This window comes from Homo sapiens, chromosome 12, assembly GCF_000001405.40.
Source record: "Homo sapiens chromosome 12, GRCh38.p14 Primary Assembly".
NCBI classification, from domain to species: domain Eukaryota; kingdom Metazoa; phylum Chordata; class Mammalia; order Primates; family Hominidae; genus Homo; species Homo sapiens.
Window position 1 is genome coordinate 14,405,678 of NC_000012.12, and position 15,310 is coordinate 14,420,987.

A 15,310-nucleotide genomic window follows, 5' to 3' on the forward strand; every position below is an offset into this window, starting at 1 on the left:
CAAAGTGTTGGGATTATAGGCGTGAGCCACTGCACCCAGACATCTCAGCTGCCACTTTAAACTCCTGTGGGTTTTTAGTAGGGCAGTTGGAAGAGAAGAGGAATAAGATAGAGATCCAGGGTGAAGTTCCTGGAACTCTCTAAACTATTCTAAGGCATTTTAGTTGCTATACTAATTGTTCTAAGGTGCCTTGGTTATTCAGTTTCCCTCAAATTTTGATTGGTATGTGATGTGTAACTGCTTTGAATAATGTTTTGCAAGCATCATGTCTTCTTGCTTTTCTTGAAACAAAACTGGCCAGTATGAGCAAAAATTATTTTAAAAGCATTAAAACTAATTTAATAAAGAAAATGTGAAATTCCAAGACATGTTTAAAGTGATATTTGATATATGGGATTATTAAATGTTCTCACTTGTATTGCTTTGTTTTTTTATTTTTTGAGATGGAGTCTCGCTTTATTGCCCAGGTGGAGTGCAGTGGCGTGATGTCAGCTCACTGCAACCTCAGCCTCCTGGGTTCAAGTGATTCTCCTGCCTCAGCCTTCTGAGTAGCTGGGGCTACAGATGTCTGCCACCACGCCTGGCTGATTGCTGTATTTTTAGTAGAGTTGGGGTTTCGCCATGTTGGCCAGGCTGGTGTCGAACTCCCAGCCTCATGTGATCCACCTGCCTTAGCCTCCCAAAGTGCTGGGATTACTGGCGAGAGCCACCGCGCCTGGCCTGTAGTGCTTTATTAACAAAATCTGATATGTTTGTGATATACTCTTTTCACTAGTTGTGACTCATAGGTTTATTAATATTGCTTTCCTTGCAATGAGGATAACAGTATAAGTTAAGAACTATTTTAAGATATTTTAGATATAAATATAATTGTGGTTAAATTTTGGATATCTGTTGCATATGAATGTAACATTTAAAAAAAAAAAAAGTAAAATAAGCTAAGCTACTTTTCATGTAGACCAGTGTTTAAAATAACAGTATTTATGGGTTTTTTTTTTTTTTTTTGAGATGGAGTCTCGCTCTTTTGCCCAGGCTGTAGTGCAATGGCATGATCTCAGCTCACTGCCACCACGCCTGGCTGACTTTTTGTATTTTTAGTAGAGACAGGGTTTTACCATCTTTCCCAGGCTGGTCTTGAACTCCTGACATTGTGATCCACCCACCTCAGCCTCCCAAAGTGCTAGGATTACAGGCGTGAGCCACCATGCCCGGACAGTGTTTTTAAAAGCTTGGTTAAATTTCATTTAAAAATCTAACCACTGTTAAATATTTGGTTAAAAAGAGCCTCAGTTGGTGGATTACTCGTATAATTTTTACCCTTCCTCCAATGGAGCTTTTGTTACTTAAAATGGTTCTGTGTTCCTATATGTTTTAAAGGCATTGTTTCTAATCTTTAGTTCATGATTAAAATAAGTCCTCTACATATAATTTTTATATTAAGTGTTTAGGCTTTCGTAGTGTCAAATATATGAATTCATTTTGCATTTTGGATAACAAGTAGTGACCAAAGAAACATTTTAAAATTAATTTGTCATTTCATCAAAACACACTACTGGATGGTTTCATATAAGAAATGCATAGAACAAGTACATTAATAAATAGCATTGGTTTTAACATGACTTGGCTGTCAAACCAGCCATTCATTTCAGCAACTGTAATTTAAATTCTTGAAATTAAAAGGTTTTTTTTTTCTTTTTGTTTTCTCTTTCTTATTTATTTATCTATTTATTTTTTGGTTTGGTTTGGTTTGGTTATTTCCTACTGATCTGTAATCCTCTTCATGATGTTATATTAGACTATACATTGTTTGACATCTTTAGGAATTAAAATCCACTCCATAATAAATTTGTACTATACAAAGAGACATGCCTATTAAGCATTATTAGGCTGGAAAGGTAGAATGATGAAATGCATTCTGTTATCTGGGTAAAGGAGTAAGAAATTTCAAGTATTGTCAACTTTAACATTACTCCACTTTAGGCAAAGTTGAAAAATCAAAAATAGCGGTGTTGTACAGATTATTTATGTGCATGGTTAACTTTTACTTGACACAATCTTAAGATAATTTGTTTTTCTAACTGATAGAAATTATTTTAACTTAATTGAGAAAATAATTATTGAATGCCTACTGTGTATAAGACACTACTTTTTGTGGAAAGAAGTTTGTGTTAAAAAAAGTATAAGGCATACTTCCTACCTTATTTTGAAGTCTGCTTTGGTAAGTTATTTAAGCTTTGTATTTTTAATACATATTAAGCAGTTTTTTAACCAACAAATCTGATTGACTCATAAACTTGCAGAAAAAAAGTGCTAGGAAAAATGTAGTACTGTTTAGAATTTGAGATTTTAGAGAAACTTTAATGTATTAGGACTGTGATTCAAGTGTTTTATGATTCTCCTGTAAATAGAAAAACACTTAAATATATAGATATTGATGTGCACACACACACACACACACACACACAAATATATATGGACAGTGGCATGTTTCTTGAAAGTGGCCCATTTATTTAGCTTAACATTCATTTCTTTAATTGGCACCTAATAAGTAAAGGTGTCAAGTTAATATTTTAGGTGATGAAATGCAAGGCACATATTTTTTTCCAAGAAAATAGAGTGTTTTTGCTGGAAGTTTTGCTTTTATATTCGCATCTATTCTAAGATTCCTGCTAGCATATTGTTTCTATTTTTAGGCTGTTGCCAGGCAGATTTAAAATTTCTTCTCTTATGGCTGTCTAATTTCTATCTTCCTGATTGGTTACATGATGCTGCTTTTATTAGCCAACCACAGTGACTATGTAAATTGTATTTCAGTTTCTGTTGCTGTGAAAGAACTGATAAGATGGCTGCAGGGGGCTCCCTTTGGGGTATGTTTTTTATTTTAAAGAGGGTTTTCATCAATATGTAGTAAGAAGCAAAGGTAGATTTCTTTTAAAGGGGCATTTTATTTTTGAAATGGGAAATCAAACTAAGCAAGCTTTATAAAAGGCTGAAAAATGACTCTCTTGTGTATTTGATTAATTTTAATGCTGCTCTGTTTTGCCTCTATTAGGCAACTTATAAATGGGTATATTTTATTACTTTTTGTATGTAAACATGCCAGCATGCTAGTTTACAAGTCTGTTAAAATGTTCTAGATTATTGTCTTTGCTTTCTAAAAGAATAGTTTTTTTCATGTAGGAATTATTTTAGATGTCAGTTACGTGTACATAGCGCATCATTCTTTTAGCCAATACTTAATTGTATTCTATGTGCTCAACACTACGTAGTTCACTAATATTATACTAGAATACTTCATATTCTTCTTCTTTTGTGAAATGACCTCAGAAGCACATCATCATGATATCAGCATATTTAAGATGTTTTCTAATATCAAAGCTTTGGACACTTAAAATGTATTAATTTTCCCTGAGATTTGACAGAGATTAAAATTTGAAAGAAGTAATAATTTTATACTAGATACTCGATAAAAATGTCAAAGTGTTCCATTAAACAATACATAAATGTAGTATTAGAGTCCATTTATAATAAAAATTTCTAAAAGGATACCTTCAGAGCATTGGCAAATACAGAGAATGGTGGCAGAACATGCCATGTGAATAAAAACAATATTGATAAAATGTGACAAAGCCATATGTAACATCAGAAAGTTCAAGAAGTATACCTCATTTAAAAACATTTATCATCATTAATTACATATAAGGCCTTTTGGTTATAGTACCATTTTATAATAAAAGAGAATGTTTCTGTTTCACTTAAGACTTTCTAGTCTTTCTGGTAAAAGATAGTTAATTGAATTTTCCATATGCGGAAGACTTTATTAATATTTGCTCCTGGAGGGGTCACCTGTGTCATGCTTAGTACTGCTTTGTCTTTTGTTTTTTGTTTTTAAATATCTTGCGTGAGTATTTTATGCCCATTACTGCAATCCTGCAAGATGAGCATACTGTAGAATTATGTACCATTTGGGACAGGGAAAAAGAGTAATGAGCTCATCCAAGATGAGGACATAAGAGAACAAGGCTGCTGCTATTTTACACATACTGCCTTTCACCACCAATATAATCACAGATACACTTGTTGGCCTAAAAATGTGAACGCTCTAAAGTATAAACCAACACTCGGTTCTCTTGGTATAGTTGTTCTGTCCATGTTGGAAGTGTGACCCAGTAAAGGGGTTTAGGTTAAAAATAAATGAAAAACACTCAACTGAAGTTCTGCTATTTTTTTTAAAATATCTAGTTTATTGAGATACAGTTCACATGTCATACAATTCATCTGTTTGAGTGTATAATTCAGTGGTTTTCAGCATATTCACAGTCGCATAATCACCACAATCAATGTTTGAACATTTATATTACCCTATAAAGAAATCCTGTACCCTTTAGCAGCCAACCGTTATTTCCTCCCAGGCCTCCAACCCTAGGCAATTGGTAAGCCACTTTCTGTCTGTATAGATATAGATTTGCCTATTCTGGACATTTCATATACATTAGTCCCCCCTTCTCCACAGTTTTCGTTTTCTGTGGTTTTAGCTGTCTGTAGTCAACCGTGGGTAATATTAAGTGGAAAAATTTCAGAAATAAATAATTCATAAGTTTTAAATTTGGCACTGTTCTAAGTAGTGTGATGAAATCTCATGCCATTCTCTTCTGTCCTACGTAGGATATGAACCATCCCTTTGTCCAGTATGTCCAGCATATCTACACTGTAGACGCTACCCACCCATTAGTCATTTAGGAGATGTCTGGGTTATTAGATCTGTGCTGGTATCACAATGTTTGTCTTAAAGTCACCCTTATTTTATTTAGTAACAGCTTCAACGTGCAAGAGTAGTGATGCTGGCAATTTGGATATGCCAAAGAGAAGCTGTAAAGTGCTTCCTTTAAGTGAAAAGATTAAAATTTTTGACTTAATAAAGGAAAGAAAGAATCATATGCTGAGGTTTCTAAGATCTATAGTAAGAACTATCTTATACTTCTGTGAAACGAACAGTATATTGTTATAATTGTTCTATTTTATTATTAGTTATTGTCAATCTCTTACTGTTCCTAATTTATAAGTTAAATGTATGTATGTATGTATGTATAGGAAAAAACATAGTATATATAAGGTTCAGTACTATCCAGTTTCAGGCATTCAGTGGGTGTTTGGGAATGTATCTTCTATGGATAAGGGGGAATACCGTAAATGGAATCATTCACTATGTGGCCTTTCGTGACTGGCTTCTTTCACTCAGCATGTTTTCAAAGTTAATGCATGTAGTAGCATGTACAGTACTTCATTCCGTTTATGGCTGAATGATACTCTATTGTATGGATATACCACATTTTATTTATCCATTCATTAGTCACAGGGCATTTAGGTTGTTTCCAGTTTTGGGCCATTATGCGTAGTGCTTCTATAAAGCATTTGTGTACAAGTTTTTGTGTGGACATATGTTTTCATTTCTCTTGGGTATATACCTAGGAATGGAATTGCTGGATCATATGGCAACTCTGTGTTTCACATATTGTGGAACTGCCTGTTTTCCAAAGCAGCTGCACCTTTTTGCAATCCCACCAGCATTGTTTGAAGGTTCCAATTTATCCATATCATTGCCAATACTCATTATTCTTGTTGATTATAGCTGTCCTGGTGTGTGTGAGATGTTATCTCATTGTGGTTTTGACTTGCATTTTGCTGATGACTAATGATGTTTACTGCCTATGAACTATTGGCTTATAAAAGCCATAGCATTAGGAGAAAAACCTAATGTAGGTGACGGGTTGACGGGTGCAGCAAACCACCATGGCACTTGTATACCTATGTAACAAAACTGCACATTCTGCACATGTACCCCAGAACTTAAAGTATAATAATAATTTTAAAAAAAACAGAAAAAGAAAAAAAAAAGCCTTTTTGTGGAAATGCCTGTTAAGTCCTTTGCTCATTTTAAAATGGAGTTATTTGGTGTTTTATTATTGAATTGTAACAGTTTTTATATATTCAAGATACAAGTCTCGTATTGGGTATATGGTTTGCAAGTATTTTCGTCCATTGTGTGAATTGTCTTTTCACTTTCTTAGTGGTTTCCTTTGCAGCACGAACAGTTTTAATTTTGATGAAGTTCAGTTAAACTTTTTTTTTTTCCTTCTTCTTTTATTGCTTCTTCTCTTTGGGTCATATCTAAGAAACCATTGCCTGTTCCAAATTTATGAAGATTTTATGTCTTTGTTTCCTTCTAAGATTTTAGTTTTAGCTCTTAAATTTAGGTCTTTCATTTATAGGAATTAATTTTTGTATAAGGCAAGAAATAGGACTCCAACTTCATTCTTTTGCATGTGGCTATCCAGTTTTTCCAACACTCTTTGTTCAAAATACTATTCTTTCCCCATTGAATGGTCTTGTAACCCTTGTCTAAGACAATTTACTGTAAAAGTGAGGGTTTATTTCTGTTCCAAAATATATCCTAAGGATATACCTGTCATTTTACTGGTAGTATCACACTGTCTAGGTTATTGTAGCTTTGTAATAACTTTTAAAAATGCAAAGTATGAGTTCTCCAAGTTTATTTTTCTTCTTCAAGATTGTTTTGGTTGTTCTGGGACCCTTGCATTTTCATATTAATTTTAGGATCAGCTTACCAGTGTCTGCAAAGAAAATAGCTAGGATTTTGATAGAGATTGTTTTGAACCTGTAGCTTAATTTGAAGAGTGTTGACATCTTAAGGATTTGAGTCTTTTGATTCATGAGTATGGAACGTCTTTTATTTATTTATGTCTTTAATTTATTCAATAGTATTTTATAGTTTTCAGAATATTAAGTTTTGTACTTCTTTGGCAAAATTAATTTTTGATATTACTCTAAATGAGATTGTTTTATTTTTGGATCATTTGTTTCAAGGGTATAGAAATGCAATAGATTTTTATATGTTAATCTTATTATAGTGAACTTTGTTAAACTCTTATTCTAATAAATTTTTAGTTGATTTCTTACTATTTTCTATATACAAGATTTTGTTATCTGTAAATAAAAATAGTTCTTTCTTTTTTTTTTAAGTTGTATGACTTGTGGCTGGGTGTGGTGGCTCATGCCTGTAATCCCAGCACTTTGGGTGGCCGAGGCAGGTGGATCACCTGAGCTTGGCAGTTTGAGACCAGCCTGGCCAACATGGTGAAACCCCGTCTCTACTAAAAATACAAAAATTAGCCAGGCTTGGTGGTTCACACCTGTAATTCTAGCTACTCAGGAGGCTGAGGCATGAGAATCACTTGAACCCAGGAGGCGGAGGCTACAGTGATCTGAGATTGTGCCAGTGCACTGCAGCCTGGGTGACAGAGAGGGACCATGTCTCAAAAAACAAACAAAAAGTTGTTTGACTTTTATTTCATTTTCTTGCCTAATTCTCCTGGCTAGAACTTCTAGTTCAATGCTGACTAGAAATGGTGAGGGCAGATATCTTTTGTTCTGATCTTAGGGTGAAAGATTTCAGTCTTTGACCATTAAGTATGATAGCTGTGGGTTTTTCCTTGGTGCCCTTTATCAGGTTGAGGAAATCCTCTTCTATTCTTAGTTGGTTGAGTGAATTCTGCTCTTAATTGCTATGTTAAATTAAGGATGAGATAATTTAATACTTAGAAAGCTGCTGGTAATACTCTTGTAGCTAATACATGAAGCAGTCAGCAGGCTGGTGAAATTGGGGAGGGAGTCTACTCTCAGGTCTCATTTACTGAGTAGATAGGTATTACCAGTGATCTTAAATGGCATCTCCATTTTCAAAGAGATAAAGAAGACAATTGCTGAACATTCTATTAAAATGGTACCAAAACTTAAATGATGAAATGCATAAGAAGGGTTCCTGTGCTGAAGAAAACAACTTGGTACTGAATTGGGTGTCTGCTTTACCTTACCAAGTTAAAATTACTATTTGTGTAATTATTGATAGTAATATAATTATTGATTTATTAATTCACATCATATGTAAAGTTGAAATTAATATAAATTATCACATAAACTAATGAGAAAAGGATATGTTTTGTTATAGTGACTCACATATATTATTCCTCGATAAGCATCAGTTTCTTTTTCTCCTTTCAAGGTGTGTAATAAAAGGGTTTTTTTTCAAGGTGTTAATAAAAGGCAGAATTTATAAGGCATGGTTGGGAATAATAAACATCAAATTCAAGATTATGCTTATCTTTGCATTTAGGAGTCAAGAATGGAGAAGAAGGAGTAAGCTGTTGTGTTGTACAGGGCACTTTATTTTTATTTCATAATAAAAAATTATATGTGTCAGTATAGCTAAAACTTGAGCTAGAATGGAACTTAGCAAGCATCTGCCCTAACTTCTTCAGTTTTACAGTTGAGGAAACTGAACTCCAGAGAGTTAAATTGATTTATTCTATGGTGGTTGTATACTAATGTTAGAACATGGAATAGAACCTAGTTTTGTTAGTTCAGAAGTCTTTTTGTTATGCCAAGCTTTTTAGAATATGTGTATTTTAAAGTGTGATAGTTTGCATGATATTTTATAATTATACTTCTTTACAGCAAGAGGATTATATGTCCCTACCTTTTGCCATGTGACATGAGGTGTTTCCCCTTGGGAGGTTTTTTACTTCCCATGCCCTTAGTGACTTAATTTGGTTTTAGCCAATGGAATGTGAATGAAAGTAATGTACACCATGTCTAAGCAAAAGCTTTAAAATAAGCTTGTCCTGCCGAGGGCCCACAGGCTGCATAGAGCCCAGGGCTGTTTTGAATGTAGCCAAACACAAATTTGTAAACTTTCTTAAAACATTATGAAATTTTGTTTTTCAGCTCATCTGCTATCGTTAACGTATTTTATGTGTGACCCAAGACAGTTCTTTCATTGTGGCCTAGAGAAGCCAAAAGTTTGGACACCCTAGCTAAAAGCTATTGTATACTGTATATCTCTGTCATATTGGTCTTTTACCTCTGCCACAAGGCCTAGATGGGGTGAGGGGGTGCTGTTCCTTCAGCCTGGTGTCCTAGAATAATGAAAAAGTATACAGTTATTAGCCAGTGAAATTTTATTGTTGTTGCTGCATTATCATCTAGTAAAAGGTGACTGACACAGAAAGTTAGCTGTCCAGCTTTTCTCTTTAGGTTGGGTTAATAAGAAAAGTAAGAGTTATTTCCAGGCATTTGAAGGATTTACATCTTTCAGCTCCTCATACCTCATTCTGGGTGTTTTACTTCACCCAAGCAAAATGTGAAAAGTACGTTTGGACAAATGATTTCTACTGCTGGTTATTTATTTATTTTTTTAATGAGACCTGGTCTTGCTGTGCTGCCCAGGTTGGTCTCTACCCTTTAGGCTCAAGCAGTCCACTGCCTCAGCCTCCCAAGTAGCTGAGATTACAAGTATGTGCCACTGCGCCCAGCTCTGGACAAATGATTTCTTAAATGCCTGTGGAGATAAATACAAGACCTTCTGTAACTTCACTCCTTATCTGCATAGGGATAGTAGAGTTTGGCAAGCTAGTGAGTAGGGCCTTGATGGAAAATTGGCCAATTTTCTAAGGGGGTGTAATTTGCTCTATGTATTCTAAAATGGCATTTGTTGGATCAGGTCATTTAATTTTATTTTGCCCATGTAACACAATGATCCCAAAAATTGACTTGGAGAAGTAATTTTAAGGTATCTTATGTTTTTATCATGTGGACCATTCCAAAATTTCTGAAAACATAGCACTGAATGCAACAAGAAGTTAGATTGTAGTGACAGTTCTGGCTTTGATGTAACCAAACTTTTAAGGACATGATTTACTCCTGCCTTGTCTGGGGAATTGTTGGTAACCTTGTCTAGGGAATTGTTGGTAAAGCAAACTCCCAGTTTCCTTTGTGGTTGGTTATTTTTTACAATTTAGTTTGGGGATATTGCATTCCACATTTTGGTCGGTGACAGGCAGAGGGGTTAATTTGTGAAAGTGTCAAATATTATGATCACTTGATAACTTACTCAACTGAGTTTATGAGTATTTGATAAACAGATTTCACCACTTACTGTTTTTTTTTTTTTTTAAGATGGCAGGATAGCTAGTGACAGTTATTTTATACCAGTTAAGAGAACCGTAGCTGACAATGCAACAGTGTAACATCTGTTTACATAGCCTTTATGTTATACTGGGTATTATAGGTAATTTAAAGATAATTTAAAGTATACAGCAATATGTGCATAGGTTATATGCAAATACTACACTACTTTATATAAGGGACTTGAACATTGTCAGATTTTGTTATCTGTAGGGAGTCCTGGGACCAGTCTCCCACAAATACTGATGGACATGGTATTTAAAATAAAAATTTCAAAATCTTTATACTAAATTTGAGCAGATAAGTATCAAAGTGAGTGAACAGATTCAGTAGTCTATTTAATGGGCAGTAAGCAGTAAAGCAGATTATTAGCATCTTTTGTGCAACCCACTATTCTTTATGATTTTATTTTTAGAGTATTGCAAATTCTCAAGCAAAATTTAGAAGTGTAAAATAAAATCATACAGTTTTCAACTGAGAATGGGATTCTTAAAGAATCTAATAGCAGAGTTGCATTTCTAAAGAGGTTAGAAATTATCAGCATAAAGTGATTATTTAATATTTAATTCAGCCATTTAATGAAAATAAACTCAAATTAAAATTATTTTCAGTAGAAAAATGAATGAAATTTTTATTCAGAAAAATGTTGTACTCTCAGGCAACAGCATGAATATAATTGGAATGCCTTTGTCAAAGATAGAAATGCCATGTCCACTTAAAAGGTTTTGCTTGATGTTTTCTAAGCTTTTGCTTTAGTTTTATTTTGAAGTATACTTCATCAGATATTCATTACTTTGAATTAATACAGCATTTGTTTTGTCTATGTGTTGTATATGCTTTTTGACCCAACAATCGTGGTACTTAGTTAAGTCTGTTCTTGGAAAGCAGTACAGACCCTAGTTTATTTAATCAAAGAAACCCTACCATGACCTGTTTTTCAAACAGAGCATCTAGAGTTATATTCCTAATGTTTCCATTTCATTGTTCACCTTGATTTTCACATCCTTTGCATTTTTAATAGAGCTCTTGCCCTCATCTTCTTCCCTTGTTGCTGGGCAAGGTTTGTGACACTGATGTCTGATTGGTTTTAGACTATTTCGGCTTTGAGCCAATCAGACAGTGAATTTCAGTTCTCTCACAGGACTGAAACATTGAAGCAGCTGTTGATATATTTTTCCTGTGGGGAGATTATATAAACTAAGAGTATGGCTGCAGCAAGCTCCCTCTTGGGTATGTTTGAAAAATTACAAGGTTCATCTGTAAGGAAGGGGGGAAATGAGGTTTATTTTTAAAACTTGGTTATTAAGAACACCTAATAAGTAGTGAATTTGAGAAAAAAATTCTGATAACAAATTTTCCATTTTTATTTTATAATCCTATATTTAAAGAACTATAGAATGGTGTAATATAATAAAAATGTCTTTAATTTTCATGAATATTTACTTTGTAATCCACACATTTGTTTTATAATAAAGCTTTGAAAGGATATCTCATATAACCTTTTGTAACTTGCTGCGAAAGGCAGTTAAGGAGAAAAGGATGTAGTAATTGTACTTATACCACTTAATATAGGTTGTCCAGAATCAGACATTTAGATTTCATTAGATGAATTAAACTAAGTCAGTTCAGTGCAGTAGACAGCACAACACTTCATAATACTATCCCTAGTAATCCTTTGGGTCCAGAATACTATTAATTTTTGGAATCGGAAATCTGTAACAATAGTGGTAGATGGGTATGAAGATTTTTTTTTTACTTGTCTGGATTTAAGGTTTTGCTAGATTTATATATTTTATATGTATGGTCTATGGAATTTTTAAAAAGAAATTTACATTTGAATTTTGCATTGTATAGAAAAATATGTTCTTACGTATATTGTCCATGTTTGACTTATTCCTCAGGTAGGAAATTAATTTATATTAATGTATATTTCTTGAAATGTTCATGGATATTTATTAAAGCAAATAGCATAAAAGATGTAAATCTTATCCATTTATGTGTGTGGTATATTTAATGCGTGTTACGTGGATTTAGGGTTTTATGTAAACTGTGTTCTAGATTACTTATTTCAAACAAAGAACCACACTTAAGTATTGCAGATACAGTTTTTGTTTAACTATGTTTTTCTGACCTTATTGTCTGTCTCCTGTTGCTGGGCAGGAATCAGAATGCTGGCTGCTGATTGGCTGAGTTTGTGAGCAGCTCTTGAACAGCCATTTAAATTCTTGAGCTTTTTGAGCAGGCAGATTGTAGGCTAAGACATAACAGCTTCCCTTTGTTGTTTCATTGCTATGATCTCTTGCTAGAAAGAAGTGGGTGGAGGGGGATGAAGCAGAGAAGAGAGTAATGTTTTCATTTAAAGAAGAAGCTCGTTGGGCTTTCCTTAAAAATATTTTAAAAATAATTTACCAAAAATTTGAAAAAAAAATTTCCAAGCCAGAGAGACTTATTTGCAGGTAACATACCCTTCTCTGGTTATTTAAATATAAATTTCTATAGAAAAAGGTTTTATTAGTGATATTATTTTCCCAGAGTTCTTGAATATACAGAGACTTAAAAAACATTATTTTGACTCTCATCCTCATGAAAAAAATACTTTCAGGAGAAACTAGTTCATCATGTTTTGCAGTTACTTTTAGACATGGCAGACATCTTCTGCCGTAAAATACCAATGCTTTTTTCTGTGAAAATGAATTACAGTCATGTGAAAGCTTTCTGATTTGAGTTGCCACCTAAAATACTAACATTTATTTTATAGAATAGTTTTATGAATGGCATCTTAGTTCTAGGCGACAGTACTAAAATGATCCTTGGAAGTGTTTTGCACTGGTATTACAGCCATGGAAACTTGTTTGCAGGTAACACACCCTTCTCTAATGTGTATCTTTCTCAAATATGCTTCGCTAATGCAAAATACATTTCTAAAAGCAGACTGCTGATTGGTTTGTACAGATATGGCTGAACTAGTTTGAACTAATTGTTCGTGTTACTTCCTTATTGCTTTGTCTGTTTTTTATTATATTTAGAACCCATAAGATCTGGTAAATGGCTGTAGTGTGCTCCCTTGTGGGTATGGATGGTAGTTATTCTATAATTCTTTTTAGAGTGCTTTATTATTACTGAAGTTAATGACAATTTTATTGATAAAATCAACTTTTCTTGAATTATATATTTTTATTAAATATTATTTGGTGGTGGCAATTTAATATTAACTGTGAGGTTTACATGTTGGATTTTCTAATTTATATAAAAAATACCAAAGAGGAATTTGTCTTAGACTCTTTAGTTTATTCCTAAAAACATTATCCTGAATATTTAGTTTATTCCTAAAAACGTTATCCTGAATATATAGATGGTGATGGTTATACCATTTATTGAGTTCTTACTACATTCCAAGTGCTTAATGTATAGAATCTCATTTAGTTCTCATGGCAACCTTTGTGACAGGTGTTGGTATTAGTCCCTTTTTAAGGTAACCAAAACTAAGAAATTGATGTTAGGTAATTTGCCCAGTCTCACACAGTAGGTTTCCTGGGAGAGTTGGAATTCAAATCTGTGAATCTGTCTACAGTCTACAGAGTTCATGTTCTTAATTGGGTTATTAAAAGTGATGAATTTTTTTAAAGGAATGCTTACTTTTAATGTAAGAGTTCATGTTCTTAATTGGGTTATTAAAAGTTATGAATTTTTTAAAAGGAATACTTTTAATGCAATTGGTAATAACTACCAGCTGTCCATCTAATATCTGAGAAATGCGGATATTATGAGGCTAAAGTTCAAAAGAATGGCCTTTCAGTATTTTGAAATACTTAAAGGGTAACTATACTACTTATATTATAAACTTAATTATTTTGTAGTTTTGGAATTAGTAAGGAAAAGTGACAGCAAAATACAATGCATTGTATCTGTATCTTTTGCAGAAAATTTTGCAGTTAGCAAAACTTTGTAATGATGGGAAGGGAAAAACCTTGAAGGTGTGAAATTTTAGTCTGTAATTAAAAACCCTTAACATAATGTTTTGTATTATATTATACAAATTTTGTATAATTTTGTATTAAGGTTTTGTATTATTATATATACATTTTGTATTAAGGTTTCTGTTTAAATGAAGAGTAATTTTTCTAAATAGTTGATTTAGTTATATAATTTAAATAAAATGGCTAGAATAAGAAATATGTTCTAAGTAATTGGCTTAAAGTGAGAGAATGAATACAGAATGTATCACAGTCTAGAAATTCTCTGACAAAGTGCTAGAATCTCAAGCTGAATTGGCTTCCAGCAAGTAGGCTAGGCTTATTATTTTATGCGCTTCAGCCAAAGACCAGCAGGAACACCTTTGTAATTGAAAAAGTTAGGTTTACTATTTGCTGCAGGGAGGAAATAATGTTCACTATGGGGAAACTGTAAGGCACATCAATCAGTAAGAGGATGTTAGAAAAAACCTAGTATAGGATTTGAGTATAGTATAGGTTGGGTTATTTTGGGGAGAGATTAAGGAAGTAGATCCTTATCGTGGATTGGGTGACATCAGAAAGTGGGGGCACTTCTATTCTTGGGTATCTCAATAAATTTTATCTATATAGGGAGGACAGACTATTACAAGATAAAGCTGTAATTGATAAAGAAGTTGGCCTGGTGTGGTGGCTCACACCTGTAATCCCAGCACTTTGGGAGGCCGAGGCAGGTGGATCACGAGGTCAGAAGATCAAGACCATCCTGGCTAACACGGTAAAACCTCATCTCTACTAAAAATACAAAAAATTAGCCGGGCGTGGTGGCGGGCGCCTGTGGTCCCAGCTACTCGGAAGGCTGAGGTAGGAGAATGGCATGCACCCAGGAGGTGGAGCTTGCGGTGAGCCGAGATCACGCCACTGCACTCCAGCCTGGGCGACAGAGCGAGACTCCGTCTCAAAAAGAAAAAAAAAATAAAGAAATAGCCATCACTCATTTAGTGAGGGGGGATGTTTGGAATTTTGTGGGTTGCACAGTGACCTTGTCTGACTTGAATGTTCTCTGAGTTGGTTTTATGTCCAACCAGAGAACAGCATGGCTTAACTGTAAGCATCAGATCCATTAACAACATTGAGCCCTAACTGTGAGTATCAGTTAAGTTTCCAGGCATCAGGGGCTGCTTTTCTTTCTTTCTCAGGCCAAAGCAAATGTATTCTACCATATCATTCCTACTGGTGATGGTAATGGTAAGTGACTATCCAATGTGAAAACAGTATTCCTGCCTCCTGTACATCTTAGTCCTTAAAGCAATTTTGTT

The 15,310-nt window shown here is 33.9% G+C and overlaps 1 protein-coding gene across 15 annotated transcripts in view; it reads left to right on the forward strand.

Annotated features, from left to right (window-relative positions):
* ATF7IP (activating transcription factor 7 interacting protein) overlaps positions 1-15,310 on the forward strand; it is a 137,249-nt gene that overhangs the window by 39,996 nt on the left and 81,943 nt on the right. For 2 of the 15 annotated variants that reach the window (NM_001388183.1, NM_001388184.1), the window contains exon 1: positions 12,291-12,899. The exons of 10 other annotated variants lie outside the window; for them this stretch is intronic. The gene's annotated coding sequence lies outside the window, so the exon portion shown is untranslated. Of the gene's footprint in view, positions 1-2,812; positions 2,868-11,169; positions 11,272-12,290; positions 12,900-13,536; positions 13,685-15,310 lie in introns of those variants that run through there. 3 more of the 15 variants (NM_001388181.1, NM_001388182.1, XM_047429148.1) reach the window with 3 other exon arrangements.